This window comes from Homo sapiens, chromosome 1 (genome assembly GCF_000001405.40).
Source record: "Homo sapiens chromosome 1, GRCh38.p14 Primary Assembly".
NCBI classification, from domain to species: domain Eukaryota; kingdom Metazoa; phylum Chordata; class Mammalia; order Primates; family Hominidae; genus Homo; species Homo sapiens.
Genome location: NC_000001.11, coordinates 16,042,943 through 16,057,423, shown reverse-complemented (window position 1 = coordinate 16,057,423; position 14,481 = coordinate 16,042,943). Strand labels below are relative to the sequence as shown.

The following is a 14,481-nucleotide window of genomic DNA, read 5'->3' as shown; positions in this document are numbered from 1 at the left end:
GCCCGAGCCTGCAGTGCCCACGTGACCACGGGAAACTCACTCTGGGCCAGCGCAGGTAAGGAGCTCCAGTCCCAGACCAGCAACCTTGCAGCTGAGATGAGGGATGGACACCAGCTCTGGGAACCAGCTTTATTTTTCTCAGGAGCCTCTCACTGGGAACCAGACAACCCCAGAAGGCATCTGTGCCTGCCCTTGGTGACAGTGTACTCCAATCTCATCATTCATTAATGTGATGGCCAGTCACTGAGCAACTGGCAGATACTGGTTTTCCATCTTCTCACACTCAGCTCTGCCCAAGGTGGGATTTTTGTCTTTCAAGGCAGGAGCCATCGTCCCACCCAGGATGAGCCATCCTCTTCTGGGCTAGGTTAAAGTTGCCTGTTATGCCAAAGAATGGAGCTGGGCTGGAGGGAGGGGCAGGTGGTGATGGGGGAAGAGAAGCAGGGTCTCAGCCCAACCTCAGTACCAGGTCAGCTGGGGTGCCCTGTTTCATCTTGCTGGGCCGGCTCACTTTGGGGCTGGCGGATTTGTCAGGTTGGAAATTGCTTTCTTCATCTAGAACAGAGAAAGGGGGTGGAGGTGCGGGGGGATGTAGAGGAGGTTGTGAGGGGGGCTCCAGCATTTTTGGTTCCCCTAAGGGTGGTTTCTGGGTAAATAGTAGAGCCTGTGCCACCCCATTGCACAGATGGGATCACTGAGGCCGAGAGGGGCAGGCTGGCCACTGGCCAGAAAACAAGGTAGGGGAGCCAGGCCCAGTGGCCAATCTGGGCCAAGAAGAGGGACTCATCAGTATCCTCTGAATCCCCCCAGGTTTGGATGGGAGCATGCTGGTGTCCCCCCCACCCCACCTCCCCACCTCCCCAGTCTTCTCAGGCATAGGTTCCCTGCTTTGCTCTGCCCCCGGGACCCTGGTACCTCCACCCAGGACACGCAGCCCACAGCTCTGCCCCGCGACGTCACAAAGAGGGAATGAAGGTTCAACAGCTCAAAGAGGTTGTGTGCCTGGATGGGGGATGTTAGGAAACACTGGAGGGTAGAAGGTGCCCAGCCCACCCTCTAGCCCACTCCACCACGCCTCTGAGCCAGGAAGAGGGGCGGGGCCTGATGTGTGTGGGAGACAAGAGACCCAGGCCTGCAATGTCCAATGTGGCCACTGGGGGATGCCAGAGTCCATGCAAGGGTCTGGGCGGGGCCGCAGGTAAACAGGACCTAATATCCAGCACCCTCCAGCAGCACAGAGGGGGCGGGGCCATCTCCAGGTCCCCTGTCAGCCTCTGCCCCTCCCCAACCCGTGTGCCAGGCTCTGTCCTGAGTGGTTAAGTCGTTTGTCCAAGATCACACAGGGAGAATGCGGTGGACCTGAAATTGAAGCGCACGTGTGCCTTGGTGCAACTCCACTGTCTTTCTCCACCCAGAGATTTACATTTGCCACTCTCCCACTTCCCTCATCTCTCTGCATCATCCCCACAACCCTGGCAGTGAGGGGCAACAGGGCAGGAGCTTCTTTGCCCAGTCTGCTGATGAGGACACTGGCCCAGGAGGAGCAGGAAGCAGCATAAGACGGGCAGGGCGGGGTTGGGAGGGGAGGCTGGAGCGTGAGCTCCTCATCAGCTCTTCCCCCACCCAGAGGCCTCATGTGTCACACTCCCCAGTTCTCCCCGTTACCTCATGCAGGGAAGTCTCTGGGGACAGCTTCAGGGTCACTGGTTCTGTGGGGCAGCCTGCAGCCAAGATGTCCTGGAGACACTGCTGGGGGTGGGGAAGGGTTACAGGTGCAGGGCTGGCCTCCCCAGGATGCCTCTCTCTGACCACCTCTCCCTCAGGATATCAGCGGGCCCCTCTCCTCCCATTCCTGCTGACCCACCCCCGCCCCATCCCCATGCCCCTCAGGAGTACCCACCTGGTGTCCAGGAGCCCAGGAAGGAGGCTCAGCCTTCAGGGCCTGCACCAGCTGGGCCCTTCGCACTATGCCCACCAGGATCTGGGACTCTGGCAAGTGGAGAGACAGCCAGAGGGAGGCACATTAGGAGGAAACAGGGACTCACATTTACTTAGCACCTACTTAGCCAAGAACTGTTCTGGTGTTCCTATGGGGCTATTGTGACTATTGTCACCCATTATAAAGGACAGGAAACTTTGGCTCAGAGGCACAGAGAGGCTAATTGTCTTGCCCAAGGTCATTCAGGTGTGGTAGCTGAGGATGGCTGAGTGAGGCTGCCAGGGAGCCAGGAGGGACCCTGGCCACCACTGAGATCCCCCACATTGCAAGGCCTCAAGACAGGAGCAAGCTAGGGACGCCAGCACGATGAAGTCTGTGTGTCAGGGCTGGGCTTTCTCCTTCATTTCCCAAGAGGCTTCACATTTGGCGCAGCACAGTGAAGGTGTGAACCCAGGAGGACACTGTGTTCTGAGGTCCTACTGTGTGCTGGGGCCTTGGCAACTTCACTCTGGCCCTGGGGCATCAATGGCATTGTCGGATATTTAGTTTTGAGGGCCCAGCTTGGTGTTTTTGCTTTCTGTTGAGTGGAATAAAAACTTGACACCTAGACATATAAATGTCCCCCTTCCCTTTTAAATGAACACTGAAGGCTATTTCTTGGGTGAGCAGTGGGGTCCCACAGCCTGGGCCTGTGTTGGTTGGAGCACTTTGCTGTGGCTCTGAGGGTAAAAGAGGACTTTGTCTTTGTCTTTGAGGCTAGTTCTTTCTTTGATCCAGGAAGTGAAGGCTCTTGGTGGGGTCATCCGAATGCAAACATTTTCAGATGAGATATTTGGCATATTCCACAGCATAATGCTAACGGTCTTCCAGTTAGTGGGGGAAAGAAGGGCCTAGCATTTGGAGTGAGAACGTCTGGCAATCCTATACTCTCTTGATCCCTACTTTCAAGATGATGAAAATGCAGTACATAGAGCTTAAGTGGTATACTCACAGTTCTTTAGCTCATAAATGGCCTTATCCCTCTTGGGGTGGGCATAGGGGTGACCCATATGGTTGTACAGGTTGCTCACTGCACAAGGTGCCTGCCCAAAGTGCAAGTGGAGACCAAAATCCAGCTGTGGTGTGCTTGCCAGGTGTGCAGCTTGTCTCACTTGCACAGGGGGACACATGGGCTGACAGCAGCCTTGAGTGAGCAGGGTTACCCCCCAACCCCGCCTTATCTTCTAAATGCAGATACTGGACTTGTACCCACAGGAAATGACGCTCTAGTTAAGGTTTCTGCAAGAAGTGAGTTCCATGCCTTTTAACAAGAGCCACCATGCTTTTGTCTCTAAAGAGATGTTTTCCTTGTGGCAACAAGGATTTGGAGGAGGGGACTCATCTGGGGAATGCTTAAAGGGAGGCCTGAAGGGAAGCTTCCGGAAGACCCTGGTGGTGTCCCCATGCTCCTACCCCAGCAGCTGCCCAGGGACTGCCTTACAAGCACCCGGCCGACTCTCTTTAGACATGTCAACCACCCCAAGGGAGGGTGGCCATGATTTCCATTTTACTGATGAGGAAACTGAGGCTCAGGTGATGTGACTTGCCCAAGGTCACACGGTTGGTTGCTAAGTCACAGAGCCTGGATGCAGATCCTGTCTGCCTGACAGGTTCAAGAAGGAGGCAGAGGGCATCCCCTACCCCCGACTTCCTCCTCCCTTCCGGCTGGGCACCTGTGCTCTCCACCAGGGGATACTTGGCCACGTCTGTGGAGGTCACAACCTTGACCACCTCCTCCAGTGGCATGTCCTTGGCCAGTGTGGTGATGCTGTGGTTCATGAAGTGCTCCACCCTCACGCGGTGGGAACTGCAGGCAGAGGGGCTCCCATCAGGCCCCACAGTCAGGGATGTGAGACCCAGGCTGGCAGGGGGATCTGTGGGGAGCTTTGCTTGAACCGGGGACCCACGGCTCTGGAGTGTGGGCAGGGCCGGAGAGGTTCCTGGAATGAGGGACTCCTAGAACCCACGGTGAGAGGAAACCTGGGGACCACATCGCCGATGACCCAGTTGCGAATTCCCAGCCCCCTGGACCCCCGTGTCCCCCAGACCAGCTCCACTTTAGCCTGTTTTACCCAGCAGCCTTCCCTGGAGGATTTAATTTGAGTAAAAAGTATATGCGGCTGGGCACGGTGGCTCACGCCTGTAATCCCAGCACTTTGGGAGGCCAAGCCAGGTGGATCACTTGATGCCAGGAATTCAAGACTAGCCTGGCTGACGTGGTGAAACCCCGTCTCCACTAAAATTACAAAAATAATCTGGGCATGGTGGCACATGCCTGGTCTGAGCTACTTGGGAGGCTGAGGCAGAAGAATTGCTTGAACCTGGGAGGTTGAGGTTGCAGTGACTGAGATTGTGCCACTGCACTCCAGCCTGTGAAACAGAGTGAGATTCCATCTCAAAAAAAAAAAAGTATATGCCTCCCCCAGGGAAAAAAACTTGAAAGTCTGGAAACCACTGGGGTAAGCAGCCCCATTTTCCAGATAGGGAAACGGGTTCAGAGCAAGGCAGCAGCTTGCTTGTGTTTTCAGCGGGGCCTCAGACCCAGGGACTCTCAGAGCCTCTTTGGTCTGCTTTTCTGGTGCCAGAAGCTGCTCTGGTCCTATCTGGTTGAGTGAAGACCTCAAAGCCCATTTCCATTCTCGTTCCACCTCCTGCTCCCAAAGTCCCAGCAAGGACAGCAGGAGTGGGGAGAGGGGAGGAGACCTCTCGGATCTGGTGCTGACTCTCTGTGTCACCTGGAGCAAGACACGGCACCTCTCTGAGCCCCGGTTTCCTCAATCTGTACACGGGGCAATACTCATCCTCCTGCTGTGAAGCCCAGCTGACCCCTAGACAGACACTGAGGCCTCAAGGCCAAGGACTTGCCCAAGGTCACCCGGGGCACTGGGGAGAGTGGAGAACAGAGCACAGCTGTGTGTCAGCCCCCATGTCCGAGGTCAGCTACGGTGGCGTTTCTTTTTCGAGGTGCCCTTCACCCCAGCCCTTCCCAAACACTGTGACCCCCTTCAGTCAGCCTGAGGTGGGCACCACTCACCCGATGTTGCGGCCCAGAATCCGTGGCAGGTATGGCAGCTTCTTGACAATGACGGTGCCATCATAGAAGGAGGGCTGGCAGCTCTGTGCAATGGCGTTGGCTGCCAGCACCGCCATCAGCACGGGCAGTGCATGCACTATCTGGCCGGTCACCTCGAAGGCCAGCAGCGCCGTGGAGATGGTGTGGGTCACAGCCCCTGAGAAGGCTGCAGCCCCTGCAAGGGCAGAGTCAGGCAGGGCAGCTCAGGCCAGGGGCCAGCCTCATGTTAGGGCAAGGCTGGCACGGCTGCGACCAGGGGCTAAGGTGTGATTTGTAAGAGGCCACAGCCTGGGCACTGTGGGAAGTGCCCAGTGCCTGGGCTTGGTGAGAGGAGAGGGATAAGGGAGGCCGCAGGGCTGGGGACAGGAGCCACGAGGGAGTGATGGGCCCCGGGGAATGGTGGGGCTCAGGAGGGACAGACCCCCATGAGGGGTAGGGGGTTCACTGGAGGACTCAGTGACTGCTCCGTGCCCTGGGGAACCACCAGCCAATTCTCCAGGTCCAGCCCAGCCGCACGACATTGCCCACGCAGCAGGCCCCTGACCCACTCACCTGCCAGAGCATACCCCCCTGGCATGATGGGATTGGTGATCCCTCCAGCCACGATGCCCTCAGGGAAGATAAAAGAGAGAGTCTCCCCAAAGAGGCGCCCGATAGCAGCTCCTGGCCACAGACTTAGGGTGAGGGGGAGCCAGGCTGACCCGGCCCCCACAGCCCTCCATCCCTGAGGACCGTCCTCAGTACAACCTGGGGAGGGTGAACCAGGAGCCATGGTCCTGCCCCAAGAACCCCGAAACTCTCAGAACCTCAGGACCCCAGACTCACCATAGACAAAGATGGGCATGAAGTACCCGGCAGGCATGGGGATGGTGGTGGCCAGAATCAGCATCCAGAACTGTGGGAGTGGGGAGCCCAGGGCAGAGGTTAGAGGCTGCTGGGCAAGGCGTGGACAAGGGAGGACAGGACATGGGACAGGGGAGTGTCCTAGAGAGAAAGAGGGTGCCGGCCATGCACCCACTGCCAGAGTCTGGCATTAGGGGAGGGTCCTCACCCTGAGAAATGCCCACTGTATGCCCTGGCACTGTGCCAGGTACATTCCTTTCTTCCTCCTTAGCCTTCCCAGTAAACACCCCATTTTAAAGATGAGAAGACTGAGGCCCAGAGAGCTGAAGCCACTTGTCCAGGACCATGCAATGGGCAGGGGGCACATCAGGAAATGTGGGTGGAAGGCCTGGGCTCCATGCCACCAGCTGCGATGAGGTACCCCCCACCACCACCAGAGCTGGTCCCAGCTCTGTGCACACCTGGGGACCAGGGGGCCCACCTTCATAACCAGGAAGAAGGCAAGGGTCCCAAAGATGGTGAACCGCGGGTGGTACCATTCCCACCACAGGTGCTGGGGGTCGAGCTCCTCGGGCCAGGGTGGGCTGGAGTTCTGGGTCATCAGCGCCCAGGAGTGGTTGTCGAACAGCGAGTCCAGATGCTGCTTCATGGACAGCTGTGGCGGGGCAGGTGGGAACTGGACATGAGGGGCCCCCAGCGGCAGACCCCAGCCTCCCCCGCACCGCCTGACCCCGCCTGGAATCCTCCTCTGCCACTTCCCAGCGGGGGGCCTTGGGCAGGGCTCTGACCTCCCGAAGCTGTAGTATCATCTATAAAATAATGCTGAGGCATCTCCCTTATGGGGTATTGGGGGGATTAAGTGAGATACACGCAAAGGAGGCAACAAATAGGGCTTCCCCACTCCTGCCACCCCACTCAAGGCCCCTTACCCGAGAAGCTAGGAAGCGGCCGGCGCTGGGTGGGTAGGTGATGGAGGCGAGAACCAAGGTGGCCAGAGCGGAGTACACAGGCTTGCTGTGGGGGATGGGTGGGCTCTAGGGCTGGCCCTCCCTTTCCCACATCCCAAGGAGAGGGAAGCAGGGCCTAGCAAGGCAAGGACTGGGGAGGAAGAGCAGGAATGGGGGACATGGACTGGGCCAGCTCCAGGGGACAGAACCTGTGGGGTCAGCCCCACACTCCTGGGTATTTTTAGGGGTAGAGGCTGATAGGAGAATTGGGGCACAGGCAGGCTGGGAGGGAGGACAGAGTGGGGCCAGGCTAGGGCAGGGCTCATGCACCTGGGGCAGGAGGGCTTGGCCAATGCCATGGGCACACATGGTTTAAAGGGAGAGAGGGACCAACAGGGGGTTAAAGGTCAGTGAGGGGGTTGGGGTTCACTGAGGGGGTATAGACTCCAGGAGATATGGGGGTTAAATGGGGAGGTTTGAGGCCAGTAAGGTAGTCGGGCAGTGACTGTGGGGACTTGTAGGTGGTGTTAGGGGCTCCACATGTGGGGCATGGGCTAGGATGGGCTTTAGGGGCTCAGGTGGCGGGTAGAGCTTTCTACATAAGGTTGGGAGTACGGTGAGGGGGGAGCTCGCTGAGAGGTCCCCAGCCCTTAGCCCGGAGCCTACCTGGTGGCCAGCAGTTTGGAGCTGAACCTATTGTTCCTGATGAAGCCAAAGAAGATTCGCTGACAGAAGAGGTAAGCGCTGCCCAGGATGCCACAGAGACCCCTGGGGAGCATGGAGACATGAGCCCAGAGCCCGACCCCAGTACCAGGGGCCGCAGTCCAGGCCTTGGGGGGAATGCCTTTTGGACTCTCAGGGGCCCAAGGCACCCACTCACCCCAGCGCCACAAAAAAGAAGATCTCAGGCAGGTCGAAGGGAACGTCCACCCGGAAACTGGTCTTGTAGAGGGAGGTGATGGTCTCTGGGGAAGGAGGGCAGTGGGGAGCCAAGATGGCGCTCCCACCCGACCCAAACTCAAGTCCCAGACTAACAGCCCAGGGTGGAGGGGGTGCCAGGTCCTGACTCGGAATCTGTGTCCTGGCATTCCAGGCCCCCACAACCAGGCTCCTGCCTCCCTGCCCAGCCTCATCCCTTCTACCCTCAGGGCCCCTGCCCTTCTTGCTCAACACAGGTCAGCCCCCTCCATCCTCCCAGAAGGAGGTGGGAACAAGGAAGAGGAAAAAGAGGGAGAGAGAGGGAAAGGAAGAGCAAGGGGTGTACACAGGGGAGAAGGGAGGGCCCCCTCGCCCCGGCCCCCAGGCAGGGCCAGGGTCAGGCAGCCCAGGGGGCTCACCCTGCTCGCTGTTGAAGACCGCCAGGAGCCGGAACATGAAGGCCCCGCAGGTGGCCGCAAAGAAGCCCCTCCAGTAATCCCAGACAGAGAAGTGGGAAGACATGACCTCGATGCTGAACAGGACGCCTGGGGGCGACACTGATCTCAGGTGGGCCCTCCACCCCCACCCACCTGTGACTGTAGGACCCCCTCCCCATGTCACCTCCTCCCTGACCCATCTGTCCTGCTCTCCTGCAGCCCGGACAGGGACAGACAGGAGGGGAGGGCAGGGCATGCGCCCTGGGCGGGGAGGAGCCCGCTGCCCAGAGACCCGTCCAGCCTGGAATGCGGGTGTGCGCCCTCTCGCTATCGGGTGGGGACGGTTGCGATCTCCATTTTGTAGAGGAGGAAGCCGGGCTCAGAGAGGCCAACGGGCCAGGGTCATACGTGGATTTCAAACCCAAGTCTGTATAATGTTACACTGAAGCCTCTTAGCACCGCCAATCAAGTCACCCGCCCCCCCTCCCCCCGGTGGGGGGCGGTGGCTGTGCCCAAGGCGGGGCTGAAGTGAGAACTAGAATGAGCCCCACCCCCTCCTCCAGGCTCTCAGCTGGGCCGAAGGAGCCCAGGGTGTGAGGGGAGGAGCTTGAGGGACCCAGGGGGCGGGGCATGAAGGGGTCTCACCGCTGAAGGGAGCTGCAAAGACTGTGGCCACGCCCACTGCCGCCGCTGCCACCAGCATTTCGTTTTGCTTGCTCTTGTTCTGGGGGATCCGAGTCCAGGGCTCAGAGTCAGCCCCCTCCCTCCCCACTCCCATTTCTCCAAGGAAGCCCCCGAGTCCCTAACCTCAGGCTCCCCGATGGTCGTGGTGCGCACACGGCCCAGGTAGGCAGCCATCATCACAGACAGGTGCACGAAAGGGCCCTGCAGAGAGAAGGGTGGGCCCAGGGCCCAGGTGAGGGCAGCAGAGACGGTCTCACCCAGAGTCAGCACGGCTTCCCCCCAACACCCCCTCCTCCATCTCCCAAGCCCCCACGGCCGTCCTCAGATGGCTTTTGTCACACTCCGGGGACCTGGCCTGCCTCTTCCCCCAAGACTGAGTTCCTGGAAGGCAGGGACCAGCCCAAGTCCCCTCTGACGCAGCTTTCGTGGGGTGATGGGGGTGAGACTGGGGTGGCTGGGGTGGGTAGGGTGGTTGGGATGCCCTCACCCCTGCCCATACCACTTTCCCGAGGAAGAGGGTGCTGCCACAGGCCAGGGTGCAGGAGAGGCCCACCACTTTGGCCCCAAAGTTCTTGATATCCAGGTAGTCCTCCAAGACCACACCCGCCAACATGGTCTTCACCTCCGGGATTCCAGAACCTTGGCGGGGGTGGGCAGGGCCAGGAGGGGGACAATCTCTAGGTTAAAAATCTCAACACTCTACCTGTGTGATGTTTTCACATTACGATCTCGCCAGATCAGCAGAACCCTCTGAAGTTAGGATTATTTTCCTTTGGGGACAAGATCTTGCTCTGTTGGCCAGGCTGGAGTACAGTGGTAGGATCATAGCTTACAGCAGCCTCAGTTGCCAGGGCTCAAGTTATCCTCCTGCGTCAGCCTCCTGAATAGCTGGGACTATAGGTGGAGACCACTTCGCCCACCTTATTTTTCTAAAGAGATGGAGTCTAGCTATGTTGCCCGGGCTGCTCTAGAACTCCTGACCTCAAACGATCTGTCCACTTCCGCCTCCCAAAGTGCTGGGATTATAGGTATGAGCCAGTGTGCCCAGCTGGGTTAGGATTCCTTTGTTTGTTTGTTTGTTTGTTTGTTTGTTTGTTTCAGACAGGGGTCTCACTCTATCCCCCAGACTGGAGTACAGTGGTGCAAACACTGCTCAGTGCAGGATCAAATTCCCCAGGTCAAGCAGTCCTCCCGCCTCAGCCTCCTGAGTAGCTCGGACCACGGGCACATGCAATCATGCCCAGCTGATTTTTTTCTATTTGTTGTAGAGACAGGGTCTCCCTGTGTTGCCCAGGCTGGTCTCAAACTCTAGGCACAAGTGATCCTCCTGCCTCAGCCTCCTAAAGTGCTGGGATTACAGGCATGAGTCACTGCACCCAGCCTAGGGTAAGGTCCTTAAACTCATTTAGCAGATTTGGACACCGAGCATCACAGAGGGAATGTGAGTTGTTCACGTTCCTCCCGCCAGGCCTGGCAGAAGGCTGTGGCAGGATAGGGGAAGCCCGGATGAAATCTCAGGCCACCACTGAGTGAGCTTTGAGCTCCCCTCTGCTGGCCTGGAGCAGGAGGCAGGGCTGAGCGGCCTGGGGGAGCTGTGCCTCCTCCACTGGCCCCTCCCTGGCACTGGCCACTGGAACAGGCTTCGCAGAAGATCCTCCCACCAGGCCTCCCATCAAGTCCCAGCGGAGCCCCTGGAAAGCAGGTAGGGCCAGCAGTGACCCAAAAGTCAAGATCTGGCCTTCTTGCTGTGTCCCTTTGGGCAAGCCACATGACTCTTCCTGGGCCTTTGTCTGTGAAATGAGGCTGCCCCTTCCCGACTCCCCCCTGGGATCTGAGAAGGTTTTGGCCAGTGGGGACTGGCGTAGCGACTGTGGACTCACCTCCAGAGGAGGGTGTGATGCTCTGAGAGAAGCCTGAAGAGAAAGAGACGAGGGCCACAGGGTACACAGTCCAGGAGAGATACCGGAGCAGGTGGCTGTCCCCAATCTCCCTGTACAGCCACTGGTGCGCTGGGGACAGCCGGGTATCAGGGAGGCACCCACAGCCTCTGCAGCCCTCGGGGCCAGACGCTGTGGTGCCCACTTACTGACCAGGAAATGGAGTCACGAAGAGGGGAGGACCAGGCCACACAGTGAGGTGCAGACCCCCAAGAAGAGGCAGGAGTACGACCCTGGGTCCATATCCCAGGTTTACCACTGCCTAGCTGAGTGACCTTGGGCAAGCCACTCAGCCTCTCTGAGCCTCAGTTTCCCCATCTGCCAAGTGGGCTCGTGATGGGCTCTTCCTCACAGGCTCATTGAAGACTAAAGACGTTAAAGACTAAAGGGCCACTGAGAACTACATGACACAGGTGTGAAGCACCAAACACCGTAACACCATAGTAGGTGCTGCTTCTGGCAGCTGAGGGTCTCCAGAGAAAGTGTCTTAGACCCTTCCTGCCCACACCCCCTCTTCCAGGGAGGCCTCAGGGTGGAGGCAGGCTGCTGAGGGATGGGGTGGGATGGGGAGGAAGCACCAAGCTTAGTGTTATAGGGAAGTGCCCCCACTCTGCCCCAGGGCATGGAGGAGGGAAGGAGAAGAAACAGGGTGGCTGGAAGAGGAGGCAGAGAGCTCAGAGGAGGAAGAGCTCTTGGGAACATTCAGGCCTCTCTCCCTTGTGCAAATGAGATGACTGAGGCCCAGAGAGGGGCAGGAGCCTGCCCAGGATCACAGAGCAAGTCAGGAGTAAAGCCAGGACCAGATCCCCACCCAGAGCACCCCCCCCAACCTCCGCTGCACCTGGCGACATCCACCTGGCATCCCCAGAGAGAGCTCAGAATCCCTTGGCCCAGAGCAGCACCTGCCATGGAGGGGTTACCTCGGACCACACTCTCAACAGCCAAGTCCATGGCACAGCTGACCAGGGCCATGAGCACCCCGAGGGTCATCAGGAAGTACCAGTCCTCGCCCAGGCGGAAGAGCTTCTGCTTCAGCCACTCCAGGCCACCTGGGGCAGGGCATGGGGTCACGGCACAGGGTGGGGCAGGAGGCACAGACAGTCCCATCCTTGGAGGCCTGCTGGGCTTCAGGCAGAGAGGCTGGGGCAGGGGGATGGAGCTTGGTGGTATACTCTGGGGTAGTCCCGAGGGGGCCCTGCCTCACATAAGTGGCCGGGCAGGATTTGTGGGAGGTGACAGTGGTGACACAGTGGGTGCCAGGACTGCTGCCCCTACCAGAAAGCCGTTGACCTGCCGACCCTCCGCATCCCTGCCTGTACTGGGAGGTTCCTGGGGGACAGGGAGTATGGAGGGGGCTGGCAGCTACAGCTTTCACCTGCATCCCCGCAGAGTCCATAGCTTAGAGAGCACCAGGATCTAGCAGACTCCTGCGTGTCCCAGGACCTGTGGCGCCAGGTATCCTCTGGGTCCCCAGCAATGCTCCTGGCCCACTGGCTGCTAGCCCAGCCTGGGAGCTGGCCCTCACTGGCTGTGGGCACCAGCCCCTGGGGTTGCAGTCAGCCTCCTTCTGTGGTCCCTACTTGCTCTGCCCCGTAGCTGAGGGGACAGTCAGGTCTCAAAGTGAACAAAGCACATGGGGCTCCAAGGAAAGGTGCCAAGTGTAGGCTGCCCCAGCCCCTTGCTGTGGCCCCAGCTGTCCCAGCAGCTAACCCCCACGTCCCCTCATTGGCACAGGTAGGTGAGGGAGAGGCCTGGGTGGAAGATGGGCACAGTGACCAGGCCTTGGGCTGTATCTCCCGAAAGGCAGAGGGCAGATGCCCGGCCCATCTGACCCACAGACAGCTGGACAGACAGACCCCTTCCCTCCCTGCCACCCAGGAGACTTTGGGCAGTCATGTCCTGGACAAATGCCAGGAGGAGGGTGGTTCCTGGGCAGGGAGGTGGGGTGGGAGCTGGGCAGGAATGATGTCCTGAGTGGTCCTCCAGGGGGAAGGGAAGAGGACCTGGCTCTCACCTCGGATGCCTCGGCGGATGCGGGGACAGGGGCCCCACAGCTCCTGCAGAGTCACAGGGTTCCCTGAGGAGCCTTCACGCAGCCCCACAAACTCCTCCATCAGGCCCCTGGAGAAGCGGATAGAGGGAGGGACCGCGGTGAGCTGCTGCACGTCCTCGCACTGCCTCTAGGCCCTTCCAGTGCTCTCCCCACCCATGAAGAGGAAAGATTGTGCGTGTGTGTGTGTGTGTGTGTGTATGTGAAGTTATCACACTAGGTCTGTGTGTGCCTTCATCCCTGAGTTTCCGTCACTGAGGGTGTGTGCCTGTGTGTGTCATTGTGTGGGATGGGGGTGGGATTCCTAGGTGTCCCCCTGTGTCCAGCAGCAGACTGGGCACAGGCCGGAGCCCAAGCCCTGCTCAGAGCCCCTTCCCCTTCGGTGGCAGCCGCTCCCACCCTCCTGGGTCACTTGGCGCTTCCACTGCTGGGAGCAGTCTCTGCCCAGGGCTGTGACACTCTCACTGCAGAGTCCCATGGATGGCTCTGACTCTCCCTGTCCACCTATGAGCACCCCTGACCCCAGCTCAGGCCACAGAGGCAGCAAAACCCCAGGCCCAGAAGAAGATCCCACCAGGGCCAAAGTGAGGTGCTGGCTCCTGCCCTTACCACCCCCCCCCCCCCGCCCTGCCTGTCTGGCCCTGGCAGGCCCCAGCATCTTGCAGCGACCCCTCACCTGTCAGTCCTCCTGCTGTGGCTGAGCTGGCCCTCCTCTCACAGAGCCTCCAGCTCCCCTGCACCTGGACAGGTGTGTGTTCCAACAATCAACATCCTCCCCCCTTTCCCGCCTGGGCCCAGGGTTTATGGCGAACACTTAGAATGTCCTTGAAAACCGATCAGAACTGCCCAGGCCGGAGCAGAGCAGAGCAGAGCTGCCAACAGGGAGGGGAACAGGAGCCTCCCCACCCACCATAGCTGCACAGAGGGTGGTGCCCAGCTGTACTCAGGCTCCTGGGTGCTGCTGGACGGGGGCTGGGAAGGGGGAGCTCACGCACACAGCAGGACAGAGAGGGGTCATCTGCCAAGGCTGAGGCTCAGGGTCCAGGGGTCTCAGAGCTGGACATGGAAGGTTTGGAAAAGCACAGAGGGAGAGGGGAGGAGGCTGGGCAGAGAAGGAGAAAGCAGGCCGGCAAAGGTGAGTGGGGCCAGCATGACCACAGCCTCCCTGTGTGCCAGGTAGAGAGTCAGCCTTCCCCTAGATTAATTACCCTGAGTGCCCACGGAAATCCCACGAGGCAGGCAGCGTGATCCCGTTGTAGAGAAATGGTGTCTCAGGGAGGTGGGGCTGCCCGTCTAAGATCACGGAGGCCGAGGCAGCGCCAGGATTCCCAGCCCAGGTTTGCCTGGCTCCAAAGCCCGCAGGCTGTGCCACACGGTCCCATCCTGATGACCCATCTTGTCCAGGGCTGGCGAGGAGGCCGACACCTGGGGCAAGGCAGTGAATTGGGGTCAGGAACTCAGACTTGATCCTGTGTCCAGACCCTCCAGGCTCAGGAAATGCCTCTCAAAGCACACGTCCAAGGGCCAGCGGCTCTGGTGGGGACTTCTGGGTAATTCCACAGAGTTTGTCCCACCCCAACAGAGGATGGCAGCACAGGTGTGAGGGGACATGGC

At 59.4% G+C, this 14,481-nt stretch overlaps 1 protein-coding gene across 2 annotated transcripts, besides 12 other annotated features; it reads right to left on the bottom strand.

The window, feature by feature from the left end:
• Positions 1-115: part of a non allelic homologous recombination region, noted in NCBI's record as "sub-region c', recombines with sub-region c within the CLCNKA recombination region", that runs on past the window's edge. NCBI's record gives the evidence for it as "EXISTENCE:polymerase chain reaction evidence [ECO:0000082][PMID:15044642]".
• Positions 1-12,831: part of a biological region, named in NCBI's record as "CLCNKB recombination region", that runs on past the window's edge. NCBI's record gives its function as "recombination_partner: LOC106501712".
• Positions 98-13,642, bottom strand: CLCNKB (chloride voltage-gated channel Kb). 2 transcript variants are annotated; one of them, NM_000085.5, is made up of 20 exons: positions 13,544-13,642; positions 12,832-12,938; positions 11,738-11,866; positions 10,761-10,889; positions 9,380-9,519; positions 9,004-9,081; positions 8,842-8,920; positions 8,179-8,304; positions 7,722-7,806; positions 7,508-7,609; positions 6,824-6,908; positions 6,376-6,549; positions 5,877-5,946; positions 5,604-5,714; positions 5,013-5,226; positions 3,652-3,785; positions 1,901-1,989; positions 1,666-1,749; positions 916-1,002; positions 116-555 (listed from the first exon to the last, which is right to left on the bottom strand). In NM_000085.5, exons 2-20 carry the CDS (start codon positions 12,929-12,931, stop codon positions 508-510), a joined length of 2,064 nt encoding a protein of 687 aa, NP_000076.2. In that variant the 5' UTR covers positions 12,932-12,938; positions 13,544-13,642; the 3' UTR covers positions 116-507.
• Positions 3,359-4,910: a meiotic recombination region, noted in NCBI's record as "this region was identified as a recombination hotspot within the HapMap CEU population". NCBI's record gives the evidence for it as "EXISTENCE:nucleotide sequencing assay evidence [ECO:0000219][PMID:20981099]".
• Positions 3,359-6,048: a meiotic recombination region, noted in NCBI's record as "this region was identified as a recombination hotspot within the HapMap YRI population". NCBI's record gives the evidence for it as "EXISTENCE:nucleotide sequencing assay evidence [ECO:0000219][PMID:20981099]".
• Positions 4,009-4,021: a nucleotide motif, noted in NCBI's record as "nucleotide motif; similarity to the predicted 13-mer PRDM9 A binding motif (LD hotspot motif), CCNCCNTNNCCNC".
• Positions 5,715-5,876: a non allelic homologous recombination region, noted in NCBI's record as "sub-region b', recombines with sub-region b within the CLCNKA recombination region". NCBI's record gives the evidence for it as "EXISTENCE:nucleotide sequencing assay evidence [ECO:0000219][PMID:10906158]".
• Positions 5,904-5,924: a nucleotide motif, noted in NCBI's record as "nucleotide motif; similarity to the predicted 16-mer PRDM9 C-type binding motif, CCNCNNTNNNCNTNNC".
• Positions 6,071-6,972: an enhancer, noted in NCBI's record as "H3K4me1 hESC enhancer chr1:16376947-16377848 (GRCh37/hg19 assembly coordinates)". NCBI's record gives its function as "activates a minimal SCP1, AML or CMV promoter by ChIP-STARR-seq in primed H9 embryonic stem cells {active_cell/tissue: H9 hESC(primed)}" and the evidence as "EXISTENCE:reporter gene assay evidence [ECO:0000049][PMID:30033119]".
• Positions 6,973-7,876: an enhancer, noted in NCBI's record as "H3K4me1 hESC enhancer chr1:16376043-16376946 (GRCh37/hg19 assembly coordinates)". NCBI's record gives its function as "activates a minimal SCP1, AML or CMV promoter by ChIP-STARR-seq in naive H9 embryonic stem cells {active_cell/tissue: H9 hESC(naive)}" and the evidence as "EXISTENCE:reporter gene assay evidence [ECO:0000049][PMID:30033119]".
• Positions 7,877-8,779: an enhancer, noted in NCBI's record as "H3K4me1 hESC enhancer chr1:16375140-16376042 (GRCh37/hg19 assembly coordinates)". NCBI's record gives its function as "activates a minimal SCP1, AML or CMV promoter by ChIP-STARR-seq in primed H9 embryonic stem cells {active_cell/tissue: H9 hESC(primed)}" and the evidence as "EXISTENCE:reporter gene assay evidence [ECO:0000049][PMID:30033119]".
• Positions 8,780-9,683: an enhancer, noted in NCBI's record as "H3K4me1 hESC enhancer chr1:16374236-16375139 (GRCh37/hg19 assembly coordinates)". NCBI's record gives its function as "activates a minimal SCP1, AML or CMV promoter by ChIP-STARR-seq in naive and primed H9 embryonic stem cells {active_cell/tissue: H9 hESC(naive and primed)}" and the evidence as "EXISTENCE:reporter gene assay evidence [ECO:0000049][PMID:30033119]".
• Positions 11,867-12,831: a non allelic homologous recombination region, noted in NCBI's record as "sub-region a', recombines with sub-region a within the CLCNKA recombination region". NCBI's record gives the evidence for it as "EXISTENCE:nucleotide sequencing assay evidence [ECO:0000219][PMID:9326936]".

Bases quoted from the DNA above. Each gene is read 5' to 3' on its own strand.
- CLCNKB (NM_000085.5), bottom strand. From the start codon at position 12,931: ATGGAGGAGTTTGTGGGGCTGCGTGAAGGCTCCTCAGGGAACCCTGTG. The intron at 3,786-5,012 runs GTGAGTGGTGCC...CTCTGCCTGCAG, and splicing joins ATTCTGGGCCGCAACATCGG to TTCCCACCGCGTGAGGGTGG. The intron at 1,003-1,665 runs GTAACGGGGAGA...TCCCCCATCCAG, and splicing joins CAGAGACTTCCCTGCATGAG to GCACACAACCTCTTTGAGCT.